This window comes from Homo sapiens, chromosome 9 (assembly GCF_000001405.40).
Source record: "Homo sapiens chromosome 9, GRCh38.p14 Primary Assembly".
NCBI lineage: Eukaryota > Metazoa > Chordata > Mammalia > Primates > Hominidae > Homo > Homo sapiens.
In genome coordinates, this window is record NC_000009.12 from 110,052,424 (window position 1) to 110,073,001 (window position 20,578).

The 20,578-nt window shown below is 43.0% G+C and overlaps 1 protein-coding gene across 15 annotated transcripts in view, besides 1 other annotated feature; it reads left to right on the forward strand.

Moving 5' to 3' along the window:
• The window catches only part of PALM2AKAP2 (PALM2 and AKAP2 fusion), a 531,726-nt gene that overhangs the window by 411,637 nt on the left and 99,511 nt on the right, over positions 1-20,578 (forward strand). The window lies entirely within an intron of this gene.
• Positions 16,717-17,916: an enhancer, noted in NCBI's record as "CDK7 strongly-dependent group 2 enhancer chr9:112831420-112832619 (GRCh37/hg19 assembly coordinates)". NCBI's record gives its function as "activates an origin of replication core promoter dependent on BRD2, BRD4, P300/CBP, MED14 and CDK7 cofactors, with strong dependence on CDK7, by STARR-seq in HCT116 cells {active_cell/tissue: HCT116}" and the evidence as "EXISTENCE:reporter gene assay evidence [ECO:0000049][PMID:35650434]".

Sequence of the window (20,578 nt, forward strand, 5' to 3'; positions counted from 1 at the left end):
CTATGAACATGTAAGACTACTGTTCACAATTTGGACATTTTCCTTTCAAACACATTTTTCATGAATATATTATAGGAAAGTTAAAACCATCTCTATTCTAAAAGGAAAATCTACCATTTGGCTCAGAGAGAAAGTTACTGAGTTTGTCTATGTGATTTTAAGTAGTATTTGATTAGAGTATTAAAGAAATGGGGTACTTCAAGTAACATAACACCTGATATTTAAATCTAAGTTTTAAAAATGTATTTCACCCATTGTTAATGAAAGTGTTTCTAAGATGTAACCCCTGGTTAGCTATTCCGTCTTCTTGCCTTGATGGGTTGACTGGTGGTGAATGTGCTGTTGTCATTCCATTGACAGTTCGGGATTTTGTGGTGGTCTCAGCATATTAGCATAGATGTGAGTTGTAATTTTATAGGATTATGGAACTGTAATTGTGGAACTCCTGCAGGGCAGACTCTGGAGGCTAGCTTTTTAGAAAACTGAAACCTCCAGTATAAACTTAATTTCTGTCATTTGCCCCATTTTCTTGAAAGTTAAGTGCCAGAAAAGAAAAGGATCGAGTCTCTCTTTTCTTTCTACAATAAAACAGAATATACTTTCTCCAGGGTTTGGTGGTGGGTTCCTTTTTCCTGTTGAGGTGGATTCTGAGATTGAGGAGGGGCTGGAGAAGACAGAGCATGAGGGAAAGAGACTGAGAACATACTCAGGCTGCCCTCGCCTCCTTTTCCCTTTCGTGCTCCTGTCTCCCATCTAGGAGGACCAGGGCTACCAGTCCTTGTGGGGACAAGTTTGAGTAGGATCAAGAGACATGTAACTGCGCCAGGCGCGGTGGCTTACACCTGTAATCCTGGCACTTTGGGAGGCTGAGGCAGGTGAATCACTTGAGGTCAGGATTTGGAGACCAGCCTGGCCAACATGGTGAAACCCTGCCTCTACTAAAAGAATACAAAAATTAGCCAGGTGTGGTGGCAGGTGCCTGTAATCCCAGCTACTCGAGAGGCTGAGGTAGGAGAATTGATTGAGCCTGGGAGGCAGAGGTTGCAGTGAGCCGAGATGGAGCCACTGCACTCCAGCCTGGTGACAGAGCAAGAACTCTGTCTCAAAAAAAAAAAAAAAAAAAAAGAAAAAAAGAAAGAAAGAAAGAAAAAGAAAAAAAGAGACATGTAACGGGAATTTGTTCCCATCTTGGTGACAGTTTCAGAGTGCCCCGCATAGGCCGTGCAACTGGAGAAGGTGCCCTGTGGAGGCAGAATGCTGCTGCTGGGGTCCTTAACCAGGCAGAGGTTGGATATGAAGATGAGATGATGTAGCTTCTTTTGAGTAGGTTTGAGGGGTTGGGTTTTTTGTTTGTTTTTTCTTCTAAGCCTTGGAAGGATGCATGAACTCGTTGAAGGGGGTGTGACATGAATGCCAGGGAAGGAGAGAGACCTGTGGAACTTACTGGGGAAGGCCACTATGCTTTGAACCCTTCTTTTTTCTTAGATATGGGCAGGGGCTTTGTGGTTGTTTTTGATGCCTGATTGGAGCAGATGGGGTGGCAAGGCCAAATACGCAGATATTGTGGTGCGCCCTTTATCCAGAACCAGGGCATGGCCAAAGCACCCTAGTGCCTCAGCCAAGTTCTCTGTGAGATCTTGGTCTGTCACATAAACAAAATCTTAGTTCATTCATCTATAAAAATGGAGATACCAGGCTGGGCATGGTGGCTCACGCCTATAATCCCAGCACTTTGGGAGGCCGAGGTGGGTGAATCACCTGAGGTCGGGAGTTCGAGACCAACCTGACCAACATGGAGAAACCCGGTCTCTACTAAAAATATAAAATTAGCCGGGTGTGGTGGCGCATGCCTGTAATCTCAGCTACTCAGGAGGCTGAGGCAGGAGGATCGCTTGAACCCAGGAGGCAGAGGTTGCGGTGGGCCGACATGGTGCCATTGCACTCCAGCCTGGGCAACAAGAGTGAAACTCTGTTTCAAAAAAAAAAAATACCAAAACCTACCTGTTCAAAACTTGTGTAAAATCAGATGGTTATGGAAGCACCTTGTACATGTATTCCTCCTAAAGTTGGTTGTTCTTAAATTAACCAAAGCCTTCTTTCATCTTCATTACAGATGCAAATGATAAGTAAATAGTTTTTAAATTAATTATTTTTATTATTATTTTTTGAAACAGGGTCTCACTCTGTCACCCAGGCTGGAGTGCAGTTGTGTGATCATAGCTCACTGCAGTCTCGAACTTCTGGGCTCAAGTGATCCTCTTGTCTCAGCCTCTTGAGTAGCTGGGACTACAGGTGCATGCCACCATGCCTGGCTGTTTTTCTATTGTTTGTAGAGACAGGGTCTCACTACATCGACCAAGCTGGTCTTGAACTTCGGGGCTCAAGCAGTCCTCCCACCTCGGCCTCCCAAGCAGTTCCACAATTACATTCCCAAAGTGCTGGGATAACAGGCATGAGCCGCCATGTGCTGGCCTAAAGTTAACACTTAAAATGCTAGCAATTGTGCAGCAGATCAATTGTTCATCCTTCACACTGATTAAGTAGCTTTGAACATGGAAATTCTCTAAGCCTGACTGCCCCCCGCCCCTACCCGCCAGCTGCCATTCTCACCCCTGAAGCACTTGCACTATTGAGAATTCTTCTATTTTTCATTAGTTGATCCTTCTTTAAGCTTTGAGTAATTCAGGAATTGGTCTTCATTGGGACAATGGACCGCAATTTTCAGAACCATAATCCTAGTTTTTTAGTTTTTTTTTTTAAATTTTTATTTATTTATTTATTTATTTTTTGAGACAGAGTTTTGCTCTTGTTGCCCAGGCTGGAGTGCAGTGGCGCAATCTCAGCTCACAGCAACCTCCACCTCCTGGGTTTAAGCCATTCTCCTGCCTCAGCCTCCTGAGTAGCTGGGATTACAGGCGTGTGCCACTGTGCCCGGCTAATTTTTGTATTTTTAGTAGAGGTGAGGTTTCACATGTTGTCCAGGCTGGTCTCAAATTCCTGACCTCAGGTGATCTGCCCACCTTGGGCAATCCCAAAATGTTGGGATTACAGGCATGAGCCACCACGCCTGGGGAAGGGGCCTCTTTTGGTGAAAAGGCAAGGGCACTACTCCTATTCATTAGTGTTCTACGCTTACGACCTAATCACCTCCCAGAGGACCCACCTCCTCATTCCATTGTATTGGGAATTAGTCTTCAAAATATGAATTTTAGGGAGACACAAACATTCAGACCCTAGCAGGGACCCTGGAAAGGATTCTCATTGTGCAGAGTATGGATAAACAGTGATGCTAGGGCAGTTTTTCCAGGGTTGTCAGAAAGGGCTGAACTAGAAGTTTCCCCACTGTGCCTGGAGTGCCCTGGGTTGGTTGAGTGTAGGGTTTCGAAGATAATTTTGTCAGGACTCTTTAGTTTTTAGTCTTTTATGAGTTAGAAGAGTGTGCATATGTAACTGCCACCATACCACAGCAAGTTCCAGCAAGAGAGAGGATTCCTCAGGTGGCCATCCTATCCAAACTCCATGGCTCTTTCCAGGGCGTTTGTGGGAAACCTGTGGGGCTAGGACTGAGCTAGACTTTTTCAGTAGCTGAGACTGGTCCTGCAGACCCATGAAAGGTGCCATGCCGTCACCCAGTAGGGGGCAGGGAGGGACCCTCATTTGCCCCTCTTCCCGCCCAACAGTTGCCTGACTTCAGCCTTAATGCATAGCTCATCCAGAGTCCTCCTGAGCTCCCACCTGGTGAGGTGTGTGTAGAAGGTGTGAGGAAGGCCAAACCACATTTTCCTGGCAGTGGTTAACTGACCGTTTTCAGCCCGCCTCCCAGTGCAGCTGACTGCGTCAGCTTACATTACCGTGATGTCATTCCCATGGTGGGATAATATAGCATCTTACTTTGTCTGGAGTGGTGCCTCCCATAAGTTTTTTGATACCGCCTACAAATGGAGAAAGACATCATTGTTTAGCCATTTTTATTTGGGTGGGTTGGAGGAATGACTTTCCCAAAGGAATAAATCTTAGTTAATATTCCAGAAAATTCAAGTACTTTTCAACCCTAATTGAAAGGCACTCTGTGTGCGTGAATTAAAATCAAGGTGGAGTCCATGTGCCATGTGCTGTGTGATTCTAAAGCCATATTTTAGCTTGGCCTATTAGTATTTTGCATCAGAACATTTTATACTTGCAAAGGTTAGCAAGAATTTTCCTCAGACACATTACAGATGAGCAGAATTTATTCATTTTGGGGGAAAAAATGAACAGACTGTATTTGGAAACTTAGATCATATCCAAAGCACTTGATGATTCCTGTTTGGAATCATTTTTCCTTCAAAGAATAGTTCAGATCAGTGTTAAATGCAGGGCAGAGATGGACTCAAGAGTGGGAGGCATTGCTTTTGAATGGAATCACAATGTGTATATCATTTTAAGTATTATTTTTATGGTATGTTTCATTATCAAAACCATCTATAGCCTCCAAAGGATGACAGGTGTTATAGTGTGAGTGGCGTAGAGGGTGTTGAGATAGAGGAATGAAAAGAGAAGAGATCGTTCCCTTTCCACTCACCATTCATAGAGGAACTAAGTTTTACCTTCTAGGGAATTCCCTGTAATTCCCAGGGACGCCTTGTCCTTGCGGTTCCCAGGCAGGATGGTAGGAGGAGCTAAGTGGGAGGGAATTAATATTTCTTGAGTGTCGGCTGGTAAGTTGGTTGCTTTACCTCCACTTTTTTAGAGACAGGGTCTCTCCGTGTCACCCAGATGGAGTGCAGTGGTGTGATCATAGCTTACTGCAACCTTGAACTCCTACCTACACTATTTTACTTAATCTTTATAGTCACCAGCATTTTTCAAATGGAGATACTGAGACATTTGGAAGTCACATAACCATCCAGGGGTCCCACAGCTACATAATGTCAGGTCAGTTTTCCTACCCAGCTCCTTCTCTGTTTTTTTTTTTTTTGTTTTTTTGTTTTTTTTTTTGCAACAGAGACTCGCTCTGCCATGCTGGAGTGCAGTGGCGCCATCTCAGCTCACTGCAACCTCTGCCTCCCCGGTTCAAGCGATTTTCCTGCCTCAACTTCCTGAGTAGCTGTGTCTACAGGCGCGTGCCACCACGCCCGGCTAATTTCTTGTATTTTTAGTAGAGACGGGGTTTCACTGTGTTAGCCAGGGTGGTCTCCATCTCCTGACCTCATGATCCGCCTGCCTCGGCCTCCCAAAGTGCTGGGATTACAGGTGTGAGCCACCACGCCCAGCCCTCTCCTTTTCTTACTAAACCAGTGCTGTAGGGGCTTGCTACTCCAAGTGTGGTCTGGGGACCTGCAGCATTCCTGTCATCCAGGAGCGTGTTAAAACTAGAGTATCCTGAGCCCCATCCCAGACCTACTTAATCAGAATCTGCATTTTAGCAAAATCCCTAATGAGTCCTGAGCATGTTACTGTGTGAGGAAGCTCTGCTTAGAGGAGGAAAGTCTGACAATTACAACTATGCATCCTGGCCAAGACTCAGGACTTGAATCCATGGACTGGACCCGAAACATTGGTCTATCTCAGTGAGGGAGGAAGGGTGCTACTAGAATCTGATGGGTAGAGACCAGGGATGCAGCTAAACGCTCTATAACACACAGGACACCCCCTTCCACCAACAAAGAATTATCCTGCACAAAATATCAATGGTGCCAATGTTGAAAAACCCTGGTCTAATTGTCTAGATGTAGAATTCACATCCTGTAGATATGTTTCGTAGCCTCAGATGTATGCAAATCTCTAGGAAGTAGATCTTAAAGGAGTTGATACAAATTGCAGTGTGCTATGCAAATGGGAATATTTTTATTGGGACTTGAAAAGAGAAAAAGAGCTTAAACTGAAGCATGAAAGATTTCCATTAGAGTTTTGAGAGTGTCAGACTCTCAAACAATAATATCAGGGATGCAGTGGAAAAGTTTCTAAGCATGTACTGAGTACCCACCATTGAGGGTGCTACAAGGCAACATTCCCTCCCATTCCCAATCCTGCCTGGCAACAGTGCCTTCTGTTTCTTCATTTTATTCCTAAGACTTGCCCTGGCCTTTGTCCTACCTTTCCGTTCTCAAGCAGGATATGCTGGGTCAGTTGTGCCACCTGGAGGCTGGGGGAGGAACGCAAATAATGAATAATTGGTAAAGGGAACCAAAGCGCTGTTTCTACCATCTTTTCCTCCCTGCCTGCGTGGATCCACACCTCACTGTTTCTTACTCAACTCCTTCAATGCCACGACACTGTAGCCACTTCCACTGGTGGACACATATCCTCTCTCCCTCCTTCCTTCCCATTCTCTTTAGATCCTGGCCCAGAACATCTGAAAAGATCTGTCCTCCCTCCCCTGTCTCTCTCCCTTTTTTTCTTCTCTTTCTTCCTTTTCTGAGCTGAACAGCAACCTGTATCAATACTGGGAAGTAAAATGAGTATGCTTATTGTATACTGATGGAAAGTTTTTTGGTTTTTTTTTTTTTTTTTTTTGAGATGGAGTCTTACTCTGTTGCCCTGCTGGAGTGCAGTGGTGCAATCTCGGCTCACTGCAACCTCCGCCCCCTGGGTTCAAGCGATTCTGCTGCCTCAGCCTCCCTAGTAGCAGGGATTACAGGCATGTGCCACCACGCCCACGTAATTTTTGTATTTTGGGTAGAGACAGGGTTTCACCATGTTTGCCAGGCTGGTCTCAAACTCCTGACCTCAAGTGATCCGTCTGCCTCGGCCTCCCAAAGTGCTGGGATTACAGGTGTGAGCCACCGCGCCCAGCCGATGGAAAATGTTTTGAAGTGAAATTATATCCAATAAAGAGCTCCTGTCATTCATCCAGTTGTGAGAGTCCCTTTGAGAGTTGCCAGAAATGTCTGCTGTCTTGTTTTTACTCTTAAATTAACTTGCTCTTTCTCGAAGTACAGAATTCTAAAACAGAGTTGGTGTTTTTGTTGTTGTTCTATTATGTCCTCCTGCTTTCTTTAGTTGTTGGTACTAGAATAGTCATTTTCTACTACTTTTTCATGGACATTATCCTTGAAATAGGTTATTCTAGACAAGTTTTGGAACCCAAACTGGATTTAAGACCAAGGCATTCCAAGAAAAATAAAATCTTTTTGCAATTTCTATGCATCATCTTTTTATAACTTTCATTCTCCTTTGCAAAGGAAATGTGGGGCTGTGGATGTGAAAGGAGGTGGGGGCAGTGACCGGCCAGCTGCAGAACATTCAAGCCTGGCCTTTGGACTCAGAGACTAGGGCAGAAGAAGCCAGAGTGCTAGGCTTCTGGCCAGAGTGGAATGTGTCTTCCCAGGAGTGGGAAGCCTGTGTTTTTCCACCTTACCATCTGATCTGCTCCAGAGGGCTCTGCATTAGAAAAATAGGGAGCTATGGGGAATGACTAGGGGGTGGAGATCATGAGAGCAGTGTCTATGGAGGATTATCAGTTATGCTCAGAAAGGGAAGATTTGGCACCTGGTCATCGATTTTTAGTACAGTAATTGTCTTGAGAAAAGTATTTGAGAATCAATATTAGAAACAATTTTTAAAATATATCAGTCTTAAAGGTACATAAATGAGAGGAAGAAAATCAGAGATCAGGGTGTCTGCAAGATGGTCTACTAGGCTTTTTATTATTGTAATTTGTGATTGAATGCCCTCTGTGGGGCCAGGTATTTTGTTTTTGTTTTTGTTTTTGTTTTTGTTTTTGTTTTAGATGAGTCTTGCTGTGTTGCCCAGGCTGGAATGCAATGGTGCGATTTCGGCTCACTGCAACCTCCGCCTCCTGTGTTTAAGCGATTCTGTTGGCTTGGCCTCCCAAGTAGCTGAGACAACAGGTGCGCACCACAACATCCGGCAAATTTTTGTATTTCTAATATTCACCATGTTGGCCAGGCTGGTCTCGAACTCCTGACCTCAAGTGATCTGCCCACCTTGGCCTCCCAAAGTGCTGGGATGGGCCAGGTAATTTTATTTTAGCCTGACAACTACTCTTTGGGGTCCTTGGATAGTTTTTAATTCCATTTTGAAGATGGAAAAGTGAGATGAATTGGTCAAGGTCAGGCCCACAGGCCCTATTTTTTTCCCCTTGCATTGTTACTGTGCTGGGTGACAACTGGTGCTGAGACAGCTGCTGTCTCCATCACTCTCATGAGGAAAGAGGGTCAACAGGTCCAGGAGTTTTTGTTTGTTTGTTTGTTTTAGATGGAATCTCACTCTGTTGCCCAGGCTGGAGTGCAGTGGCGCGATCTCGGCTCACTGCAACCTCCGCCTCCTGGGTTCAAGCCATTCTCCTGCCTCAGCCTCCCGAGTAGCTGAGACTACAGGTACATGCCACCAGGGCTAGCTAATTTTTGTATTTTTGGTAGAGACGGGATTTCGCCATGTTGGCCAGGATGGTCTCCATCTACTGACCTTGTGATCCACCCGCCTCAGCCTCCCAAAGTGCTGGGATTACAGCAGGAGTTTTTACTCTAAATATTAAGTTAAGCTTACAAGTTAAGCTACTTGTAAGCTGTCTGAAGGTCTATTTCCCTGACTTTGCAGTTCCTTAATTTTGAAGGCAATCTCTGCCTGTATGTCTTCTTCCTTAGAGACCTTTGTCCCGTTAAGGTAACCTCCTCTCCCAGCCCACACCTTCTAAAGTACCTTGTCACGTCTCATGAACTCCACAAGGGTCCTCTTGGGCATGATAATGTGTGTCACCTCTTGCAAGATCCACTAAACCCTCTTTGCCACAAGTTATGCTTTTCAAAGTCCGCCTGAAAATATGCTAACAAGAATCATTGTACAACTGACTTGCAAATACTTGAACAAATACAAATTAACAATTACTGCAGCTTTATGAAGAATGCATCCAAACCAAGGACAGAGTGGAGGAAGACATAATACAATGTATGGGTACAATTTAATAAAACCTTGAACCTTTAACATGGGCCCATTTTCATGCATGCATTGTGATCAAGTTTTGTTCAGAAGGGTGTAACTTAACTTTGAAAAAAACTATACATTTTTATGTGTTTTCAGTGAGTTTAACCTTCCATAAGCACAGATACTCTGTTATAAAAGTGAGTTTAAGCTGCTTCTTGATAATGAATGTTGACTGAAAGTCAGGCCCTATTTCCAGTGTCATATGTGGATTGTCATATTTAACCCCCGTAACAACCTTTGATAGAGATACCATTATTTTATATATATATATAAAATATATATATTTATTTATATATATATGTGTGTGTGTACATATATATATGTGTACAACAGGTACACACCACCACGCCTGGCTAATTTTTGTATTTTTAGTATAGATGGGGTTTCACCATGTTGGCCAGGCTGGTCTCGAACTCTTGAGCTCCAGTAATCTGCCTGCCTCGGCCTCCCAAAGTGCTGGGATTATAGGCATAAGCCAACATGCCAGACAAATATTATTATAATTTTTTGTTACAGATGAAGAAACAGACACAAGGGTTTAGGGCAAGGGTACACAGCTAGTGGCAAAGCCAAGCTTGGAATCCCTATAGGCTAGTGGTTAGAGACAGTCTCTTAATCATTCCTGTTTTTACTATGCTGCCTTCTTAGTGCTTAATACAAACTAAGCTTGTTGTCTCCTTTTACTATGGTTGGGGGTATAAATCTCAGTCCATAAACAAAGGCTTACAAAAAAATAGCATTAAAAAAATTTTATTTTAAGTTCCAGGATACATGTGCAGGACCTACAGGTTTGTTACATAGGTAAACGTGTGCCATGGTGCTTTGCTGCACCTATCAACCCATCACCTACATATTAAGCCCTACATGCATTAGCTAGTTATCCTGATGCTCTCCCTCCCCACCCCCTCCAAGAGGCCCCAGTGTGTGTTGTTCCCTTCCCTGTGTCCATGTATACTCATTGTTCAGCTCTCACTTGTAAGTGAGAACATGTGGTGTTTGGTTTTCTGTTGCTGCATTAGTTTGCTGAGGATAATGGCTTTGAGCTCCATTCATGTCTCTGCAAAGTACATGATCTCATTCCTTTTTATGGCTGCATAGTATTCCATGGTGTATATGTACCACATAAAAAATAGCATTTTAAAACTTATGTAAATTAATTTTATCTCCAAGCCTTCAATCTGTCCAACTATAAGAAAATGTACCCCATTATTTTTAGACACACCCACCCTAGGATTACCTGCAGGACCTAAGGTTTTAGAATGTGCTAGGTTGTGGGAAGTGGTCCATCCAACACCTATCTACAATGGTTTCAACAGTGATTTCTAGCACATGTGTTATATTAGTTTGCTAAGGCTGCCATAGCAAAGTACCACAGCCTGGGTAGTTTAAACAACAGAAATCTATTTTCTCATATAGTTGTAAAAGGAAGTTAAATTTTGGGACCCCAAACTCATTTAGCCAAAGGGAAAAGTCAAGCTGAGAACTGGGTCACGCAAACCTGCCTCCCCTCTTTGGTTCCTAAATAAGATGGCTACAAGATGAAAAAATACCTGCCTTCCCTATATTTTGCCCACAGGGAAATTCCTGGTGAGCTGTTAAAACTTCACCATGGCAATGCAAATTGATAGTTTATCTTATACAGGCGCAGTCACCCAGGCCCTGCCAGACTCAAAAGCATATCTGATTGTTCCCCTACCCCATTTTGTCTGTGCTATCTTATGTAAAATGCAGATTCTCCACATTTTTTCCTCTGCCCCTTTTGTTTATGTGAAAACTGTGTGCTTCTCAATATCCCACCTTTTCTCCTTTAAATTTGGAATCCTCAAAATCATCTCTGGAGAAAGGCATACATCTGTCTCCCAGGCATGTTCTTAACTTTGGCAAATAAATCTAAAATGATTGAGATTTGTCTTGTCATTTTCTTCCATTGACAGAGGCTAGAAGACCAAGATCCAGGTGTTTGCAGGGTTGGTTGCTTCTGAGGGCTGTGAGGAGAGGTTCTGTTCTAGGTCTTGGCTTGTAGATGGGTGTCTTCTCCCAGTGTCTTCACATGGTCTCTCCTCTGTGTATGTATCTGTGTCCAAATTTCTATTTTTTTTTTTTTTTTTGAGACAGAGTTTCACTCTTGTCACCCAGGCTGGAGTGCAATGGCACGATCTCAGCTCACTGCAAACTCTGCCTCCCAGGTTCAAGTGATTCTCCTGCCTCAGCCTCCCAAGTAGCTGGGATTACAGGTGCCCACCACCACGCCCAGCTAATTTTTTTTTGTATTTTTAGTAGAGACAAAATTTCACCACGTTGGCCAGGCTGGTCTTAAACTCCTGACCTCAAGTGATCCACCCACGTTAGCCTCCCAAACTGCTGGGATTACAGGCGTGAGCCACCACGCTTGGCTCAAATTTCCTCTTCTGTAAGAACACCAGTCATATTAGACTCATCCACTCTAAAGACTTCATTTTAATTTAATTACCTCTTTAAAGACCCTGTATCCAAATACCATCACACTCAGAAGTATTGGGGGTTAGGGCTTCAACATAGGAAGTGGAGCAAGGGTTGGGGTAGGGGTGCACACAGTTCATCCCATTTGAGGCTCTTTACCAGTTCATGCAGGCATGGGACAGGTCAGGGAAATCCTTGGTAAGTCTGGGAACCTGGAGCCCCTCTTCTCTGAAGCCTTGCCAGTTCCCTTAGGAGCTTCCACGGACCAAAGTGAAACACCCAGGGGTGGAGGGGGTAAGGAGCTTTTCTAGAACACCTTGCAAATCTTGTTGATGGCTTAGATGTTTACAAAACTCTAGAAAAATCTTATCTCCTTGATATGAGATCCTGGAAGCAAGGAGTTAAAAGCCTGGCTGCCTACCTAAGGAGGAGGAGGAAGGAGTGGAAGTAAACGAAGACATTGATTATGATAGAAAAAATGTTAATAGAAGGCGATTTTTGGAAGCCAAAGAGAAAATTCAGCTTGAATCCCCTAGTAGTGTGTATGCTCATCTTCCCAAGACGGAAGTGCCTCTCCTGTCCGACCTCCTAGCCCAGCCTCGGTCTGGAACACATTGGGTCCTAGGCACCCAGCAGTGAATTGGCTCAGAAAGTGTTTGAGGGCTCAAGTGAGTCCAGGAACGATGGCTCACGCCTGTAATCCCAGAACATTGGAAGGCTGAGATGCGAAGATTGCTTGAAGCCAGGAGTTCAAGCCTGTGTAGTTAGTGGTATGTCCTCAGCAGAAGCCACAGGACTGTGATTTGAAGAGAAGGATATGGGGTTGAACTGCTTCTTACTGCCACGGCAGCTCTCTGGCCCCGGAACTGGGGCAGTTCCTTCATTGTCCCACCTCTGTCATCGCAGGAATCCCAAGCTGTCACACTTCTCAGTATTGTTTCCTTTGCAATTTGATGTGGACTTGGCACATTTCCAAGGTGGAAACGACCCCTCATTCATTATTTTTGGGACCTCGGTGGCCCCGTGATAAGGGAAATGATGGATGCCTGGACTTGTCTTCTGGCATTGCGCACCAGATATCAGGGCCCTCCACAGGACCAGCCTATGAGACAGGAAGAGGCTGAGGTCTTAAAGACATACTTTCTTGGGAGTTTGATGTTTCCTCTTGCTTCCACAGCTGTCAGAAAGGGCTTGTTCTGAGGGTGACCTGCAGGTTGCAAGGCTGTGGAAACATAGCAGTGACAGCGTTGAATGGCTTGTCCCCATCAGTAAGCTTTGGTGTCACACCAGCCGGATGACTTTCTGGTGGAGGGCCAGCTTCCTGCACTTCCGTGACAGCAGCCTGACAGCCCCATGGAGGCATGGCTGTAGACATTAAGACATTTCTGTAGACATTTGTTCTAGTTGTTGTCCTTTTTTGTCTGTTATTTATTATTTATTTATTTATCATTATTTATTTAGAGACAAGGTCTCACTCTGTCACCAGGCTAGAGTGCAGTGGTGCAATCATGGCTTATTACAACCTTGATCTCCTGGGCCCAAGCGATACTCCCACCTCAGCCTCCTGAGAGGCTGGGACCACAGGTGTGCACCACAATGCCTGGCTAATTTTTAAATTTTCTGTAGACAGGGTCACACCATGTTGTCCAGGCTGGTCTCAAACTCCTGAGCTCCAGCGATCCTCCCACCTTGGTGTCCCAGAGTGTGGGGTCTTAGGTGTGAGCCATCGTGCCTGCCCTGTTTTTCATTTTAATTGTGTGACATAAAATGTAAAATGTACCCTCTAAACCATTTTTTAGTGTCCAGTTTTGTGGTATTAAGTACATTCACATTATTGTGCAACCGTCCCCACCATCCATTCACAGAACTCTTTCAACTTGCAAAACTGAAACTGTATGCATTAAGCAATAACTATCCCTTCCTTCTTTCCTCTTCCCCAGCTCTTGGCAACCACCATTCTACTTTCTGTCTCTATGAAGTTGTCTACTCTAGTAACCTCATATAAGTGAAATCACGTATTTGTCTTTCTGTGACTGGCTTATTTCACTTAGCATAATGTCCTCAATGTTTATCCATGTTATAGCATGTGTCACAATTTCCTTCCTTTAAAAAAATTGAATAATGTCCCATTGTGTTTATATGCCACATTTTGTATATCCATTCATTCATTCGATACTTGGGTTGCTTCCACCTTTTGTCTTGCCCTTGTTTTTGAGAGGTTAATCCATCTATGAGGTCCTCCAGGCATCAAAAGAGTTCCCCAGTTCCCTACTTTGGAGAAGTTCACTATCCCTAGCAAAGATGCAAAGAACAGATACATGAAAAAGTAAATCATGGTGCAAAAGTTGTATGAGACAACACTTTAAGATGTATCCTATGAGCGTAGGTGTAGATTTGCAAAATGGCTGGTGTGGAGTTTCTGGAAGAGGATGGCTTAGAGAGAGTATGGACTTAAAGCAGAGTTAAGGAGCCCAAGCTGAAATCCTGGCTTTGTGACTTCCTGTCCTTGTCACTTTGGGTGAATTATTGAACCTTTGTAAGCTTTAGTTTCCTCATCTGTAAAACGCAGATAATAGTACTTACCTCATAGAGTTGTTGAGAGGATTAAGTGAGTAAATGTAAGTAAAAGATGGGCGTGGTGATTCATGCCTGTAATCCCAGCACTTTGGGAGGCTAAGGCAGGAGGATTACTTGAACCCAGAAGTTCTAGACCAGCCTGGGCAGCATAGTGAGACCTTGTCTCTAAAAACAATTTAAAAACTTAGCTGGTCATGGTGGTGCACACCTGTAGTCCTGGCTGCTTGGGAGGCTGAAGTGGGAAGATCCCTTGAGCCCAGGAGTTCTAAGGTGGCAGTGAGCTATGATCACAACACTGCACTCTAGCCTGGGGAACAGACCAAGACATTGTCTCTTAAAAAAAAAAAAAAGTAGGTAAAGATTGAAACAGGCTGGCACACGGTTAGAACTCAGTACTAAAATATAAAGGAGATAACATATTGCCCACTAACATTTTGGCTATTTTTAATATATTGTTCTTGTCTTTTTAATGACCACAGATACTCTTTAGTATCTGTTTGCTGCAGTTTTTGCAGGTATTCATGATGCCTGTTATGCCTTTCCTATTTTACCTCCTTTTCAGATTATGATAGTTTTAGCAAAGAAGTATTCAGTTCTAGAGACTCATTATCAAGGAAAGAGAGAGCTCTTCATTTGGTTTTATCAGATAATAGATAATAATAAATATGGCCTGGCTTTCTTTGCACTGGGAAGATAGAGAATGAGGAAGGAGAATGACTATTAGTCATTCTAACGTTAGTCTGTTTTATCGAACTGAGGAGGGAGTTAGCTTTCTCCAACTCTGGGCAGATTACCGAGAGTAGGATGCCAGGTTACATTCTCTTGGGAGAACAGTGCTATCATGGCTGATCTCTCAATTAAGGACTTCATATTTAGATTATTTAAATCTCAAATATTGAAATACTCTCATTTTTCTAACAATGATAATTAAGAAAACTTTGTAAAGTTACAAATAAAGTGAAATTGAAAAGGTTTGCTGAATGAAGTATTTTACTATTGAAAGGTCTTCTAGAATGTAAGTTTCAAACACATCGTCTGGTTGGTGCATTACTTAATCTATTCCTGTTTGGCTGCTGCTTGGTATTTCCCACGCAGGAGTTCATTGACTTCAAGGCAATTGAATGCATTATTAGCCAGAAGAAGAAAACATGTGAGTCTCCTTCACCCAACAATAGATTTTTTAAAATACATTGTGCACAGTCCTCTTAAAAAAGGCATCAATGGCAGGTGGGTGTGAACAGAGGAATTTCCTCCTCCACCCTGGCTGTTGCTGAGCTGTAAGCTGTAAACATTGTGAGAGACAAAAAGTATCAAGGTCTCAACTTTCTTTCGGATATTGCTTTGTATTTCTGTTTACTAGTATGAATGAAAATTTTCCTGAAAATGCTGGCTAAAACTGAATTTTGGTGTTGTCTTTCTAATGGAATTTCTGATCAACAATTTCCTTTATGTTGGCAATTGCTTAATCTGCTGAAGTAGGTAAGGTAGTTGTGCTGCCTTAAAATTTATTTTTATATTTGTCATTAAAAACAAACATGAAACTTGGAGGTTAATTTTGTCTGTTTAAATTTTGATGCTTTCATTTTGACAAAATCTTTTAAGAATAATGACGAGGCTGCAGTGATTGAAATACAATTTGTGTGGCTTTTAGGCAAGTGAGCATTTAGCAAGTAAGAATTTCCCAGATTGGGTTTAGAGTTGTATTTGCTTATGTTCCAAACTCTTTTTTTTTTTTTTTTTGGTAAGATAATTTTGAATATCAGTAGAACTTGGGGCAGATAGAATGACAGAACATGGAATGTGTAATCCTTTTGGGATTTGTATCTTAGTTAAGTAAACTTTCATGATGGATTAAGGAGGACAAAGTCTCCAGCAGATTTCACTTGGCTGATTTTGTTTTTCTGTTCTTTTTCTGTTTTCCTGATGAGGCTTCTGTACTTCTCCCTTTAAGGAGGCAACTGAATAGCATGAAAATAAGGGGTATGGGTGGTGGTAGTTGCTGAGGGGAATGACAATGGATTTGGTAACACAGCATGCTAATATCATGCAAATAATGAGATGATATAGGAATCTCTGCTCTAGTGGTGGGTCTGAGGTTTGCTCTAGTGGTGGGTCTGAGGTTTTCTCTACTGAGGGCAAAATTGGAGCTTTTTTAAAAAAAAAAAAAAATTTAATTTTTTTTTGAGACAGGGTCTCCTTCTGTTGCCCAGGCTGGAGTGTAGTGGTGCCATCACAGCTCACTGCAGCCTCCATCTCCCCCAGGCTCAAGCGATCCTCCCACCTCAGCCTCCCGAGTAGCTGAGACCACAGGTGTGCGCCACCATGCCTGGCTAATTTTTAAATTATTTTGTAGAGAGAGAGTCTTGCCTTGTTGCCCAGACTGGTCTCGAACTCCTGGCCTCAAGTGATCCTCCTGCCTTGGCCTCCCAAAGTGTTGGGATTATAGGCATGAGCTGCCACACCCAGCCTGGAACTTTCTTAAAAGAGAACTTCTTTCTTGGTTTGCCACACCTCTGGGTTAACAAGGTGCCAGAGATAATTAGCCCTTGATTGGGAGAATGTGGGACTGTTCACTATGGAAGGATCTTACAGTATAGAAATGAAACCCTAGTGTAGGAAGGGAGCTGACATTTTTCAGTGTTACCTTGACTTAATTTGCAAAATGTTTTATTTTCTGAAGCCACAGTGTAATTCACAGATGCACCAAGATCAAAGGTCTCTAAGAAGAAGAGGTTGTGGGGAAAGAGCCCAGTAGAGGTAGGGAGGCCACAATGAACCCATTGAGTTATTCCACCTGTCAAAACCTTGGTTTTGTAAACTGCAAAATAGGACCAGTAATACCTATGATTAGCTGCTGCTGTTACGAATTAAGTTCAGTAACAAGTCCGACATGGCTGGCGCATGCTGTTTTCAATAAATATAAATTCTGCTCCCAACCATTCAACATCAAATGAGTTGATCTGCAAAAAGTGTTTTGAAAACTACAGATACTAATTTTCATTTGTGTATGCCTGTTAGTTGACTTCAAAACATTTGTTTGTCCCAGGAACAGAAGAGAAATATCCTTTGATCATGAGACAGGTTCATTTTTAGTATGTTAAGGCCACTCCATGTCATTCTTGTGGCTTGTTAATGTGGTTAATTGAAACCCTTCCATATTCTTGATGGGGCAGAACCTTCAGCTGTTTTCATGTTCATGTTCAGGGGTGTAAATTTCTAGACGATCTTGTGGGCCTCTGTCAGCTCTGAGATTAAATGACGTGTGCATTTGCTTATCGGATTCTTAACTCTAAAACCCTGGGATGAGGACTAGGAAGGAGAACCAGGAGGCGCTGAGGGAACAACAGCTTCCACATGGCCCATCTGCTTTGCAGAACCTGTGTCTTTGGGGTACAAGTGAGCTGGAGGTGGAGCTGCAACAGAGTGAGTCCCCGTGGTCAGTCACATGCACCGGCTTCCGCCTGGTATGATTTATCAGCAGTGATGCAAACATGATTCAGAGATAGTTTTATAAGAATTTTTACTTCGGTTAAATCATAATCAGGCGGCTATTTCCGTTTTTCTAATGTCACTTGATTAGCTCAAGATGCCCAACCCTTATTGTCCTGACTCATGGAGGGAGGCTGCTTGCTAAGTAATCGTGAGACCCAGGAGAGGAAGAGGGTTGGCGGCCATCCCCACTGGAGGGGCATCCTGGAAAACTCCAGAGAGGGAAGCTTGTGACCATGACTCCTAGCAGAGCGGTACTGACAACCTAGTACAAAACCCATAGTGGAAACACTTTCACCTACTCTCATACATTCATCTTCCCCTGAGAGGAAGCAGAGCTGACATTGTCCAGTCCCATTCTGCACTCAAAGAAATGCAGTCTCAGAGAAGCTACGGGAATGGTTCAAGGTCACATGCTTGCATATGGCAAAATTCCAAATGCAGACAGACCACTGAAATTAGGGGAGAGGGGAGATCTTCTCTTTCTACTTTAAACTATTTTATATTGTTTGGGTAGTTTCCAAAGAACAATGACTATTTTAAAAAGAATTTTAAAAAGTAAATTTAAAAACTAAAAAGTTTTAGAAACTAAATTTTAAAATCTCTGTTTATTTGTGATTATTCAAATTTTAGAAAATGAAAAAAGAGCCTCACCAATTCTTTCAGTCGATCCTCTCATTTTTACAGACCAGAGGACTGAGAAAAGTATAAGTTGGTCAATTGTGATAAGCTGGGTATTGGCAGAAAATCTGTTTTAAAACTTAGTAGGCTCACTGGGATGATTGAAGCTCTGTGTTCTGCTTAATACATGTTTAGCTGCCTGAACTAACTCAGATGACTCCATGCTGTACCATAGAGAGAGGAGCCTGACCTTTGGCTTTGGGATCTATGCGACCCCAGTCAGAACATGGCACTTTTGATGTCTTCATGACCTTTGGCGTGCTACTCTTCCTCTTTGCATTTCTGTTTTTTTCGTCTGTAACTGGGAATAATACCCATCCGGCAAGTTTCGAATTAGAAATTAGAGGCCAGGTGTGGTAGCTCATGCCTGTAATCCCAGCACTTTGGGAGGCTGACGTGGGTGGATCACTTGAAGTCAGGAGTTCAAGACCAGCCTGGCCAACGTGGTGAAACCCCGCCTCTACTAAAAACATACAAAAATTAGCCAGACATGGTGGTACGTGCCTGTAGTCTCAGCTATGTGGGAGGCTGAGGCAGGAGAATTGCTTGAACTCGAGAGGCGGAGGCTGCAGGGAGCCCAGATCATGCCACTGCACTCCAGCCTGGGCAACAGAGCGAGACTCTGTTTCAAAAAAAAAAAAAAGAATTGGTAGAACCCATCTGAAATTGCCACTTTTATAGGTCAAATGGTCGAATATTAGAAATTTCATGTAGTTGAACTCAACATTTAGAGAGTCTGATAGGTACTCAGTAAATAGTTACTATTAGAGATGTAATAGAGGATACAAATAAAATTCTTATGGTTGCTTTAGCGAGGTCCCAAATGTTATTTTCTTCTCCCAAGGAAATGACTAACAGGAATATAGCTTTTCACTTTTTTACATTGGTAAAGATCTTCTCTGACTTTGGAAAGCCTGCCACTTACTGAGGGCCACCTCTACTCATGGCTCCCAGGATGTAGTCTATCTTATTGACGTCTTTGACAGTTCATAACTCAGTTCACTTTCTCCCTGTCTATGCTTGGTCACTTGGATGGATACATGTCCTCTGTAACTCCTCCTTCTTTCAGTTCTCTTTCAATGAAGATCAATTATTTTTCATTTAAGAATCTTCCTGTGCAATGATTGCTCTATGCCCTGATACATAGAAAATGGGCATATTTTCCAATTAGCACTACCATTGTTTCTTGTGGGTAAATTTCGGCTAAAATTATGTCTATAAAATTCCCTTAGACTTAAGTAGTATTATTGAGTGATAGGAGCCTGAGGGTGATTTGGGAGATACTTGTGTTCTGCCCATCACTGTGTTATTAACTAACCTTATATAGTCTTCGTAGGACTTGTTCATATATGTACAAGGTCAGTAAGATCATTCTAAGTCAAACACTTGGCTATCTGTGATTTTCTCACCATTTTGTGTTTATAGATAGTTCAGACAGTGAGTGTTAGGGAAACAGTGAAAGGTGAGTTAGTAGTAGTTCATATTATTAACTCATTTTATTGGAATTTCCAATTTTTCCTTCCCAAAATTTTTCTCTGAACCAGTATAACCCTAAACCTATTGGTAAAATATAGAATCTTAAGCCTATTGGTAAAATATAGAATCTTAACTACATTCCAATATAAAGCAAACTGTTGATGTGGGCAAAAATGAGGGGGAGGAGAGGGAGAAAGAAGTGGAAGAGAAAATGAGAAATTCTAAGTCTTCATCACTTTCCACAGGACTCGGCCATAACCCAAACTCAAGCTGCCCACTGTTGCTTGGGATGGCGGGCTCTCTCTGGACCAGCTCTGTGGCTAAGGGTGGCAAGGGGCCCATCAGAATGGAGCAGTCCCTGATCTATCAGAGGTCTCAAAAAACTGCCTGCTACTAAGCTTGGATCTTTCCAGAATCATGTGGATGATAGAATTTGCCTATAGTGTCATGCATGGAAAAGGAAGAGAAACTAAAGGCAGACTTTAAAGGAATTACTTATCTGTGCCCTCTAGCATCTCTGAGAATTGTGCTAAGGATTTGTTGCAAGGATGGCGGTAGATGAAGAAGCCATTGGTTTGAGTGAGATTTGGAGTTAGGCGTAGTAATCCTTGGGTGCTGGAGTAGTGTCTTGTTTGAGGGAGCAGTGTTCATAGGGCATAAATGCTATAGAGGTGTCTGAACCACCTGGAGCCACAATCTGTCCTCATGATCTTGCCCTTCAAATGCAGCCGCATGCCCACATAACCCACCTTGGGGAGTAGCCAATACTCAGGCTACTCTGTGGGCTGGCATTCTTGGTCTCCTGACTTCTGCCCCAGCTCTACCTTGGTTGATACCCCAAATGCCCCTTTTCCTCTGGCCTACCTAGCCTGCTTTCTCCCCTTCTTCCTTGGTTAACTTTGCACGTGACCATTTTGATTCTCTAAAGAGAATCATTCAATTAGGAAATGGAAATCTGAGGCAATGAGAGAGAGGAGACATGCATCACTAT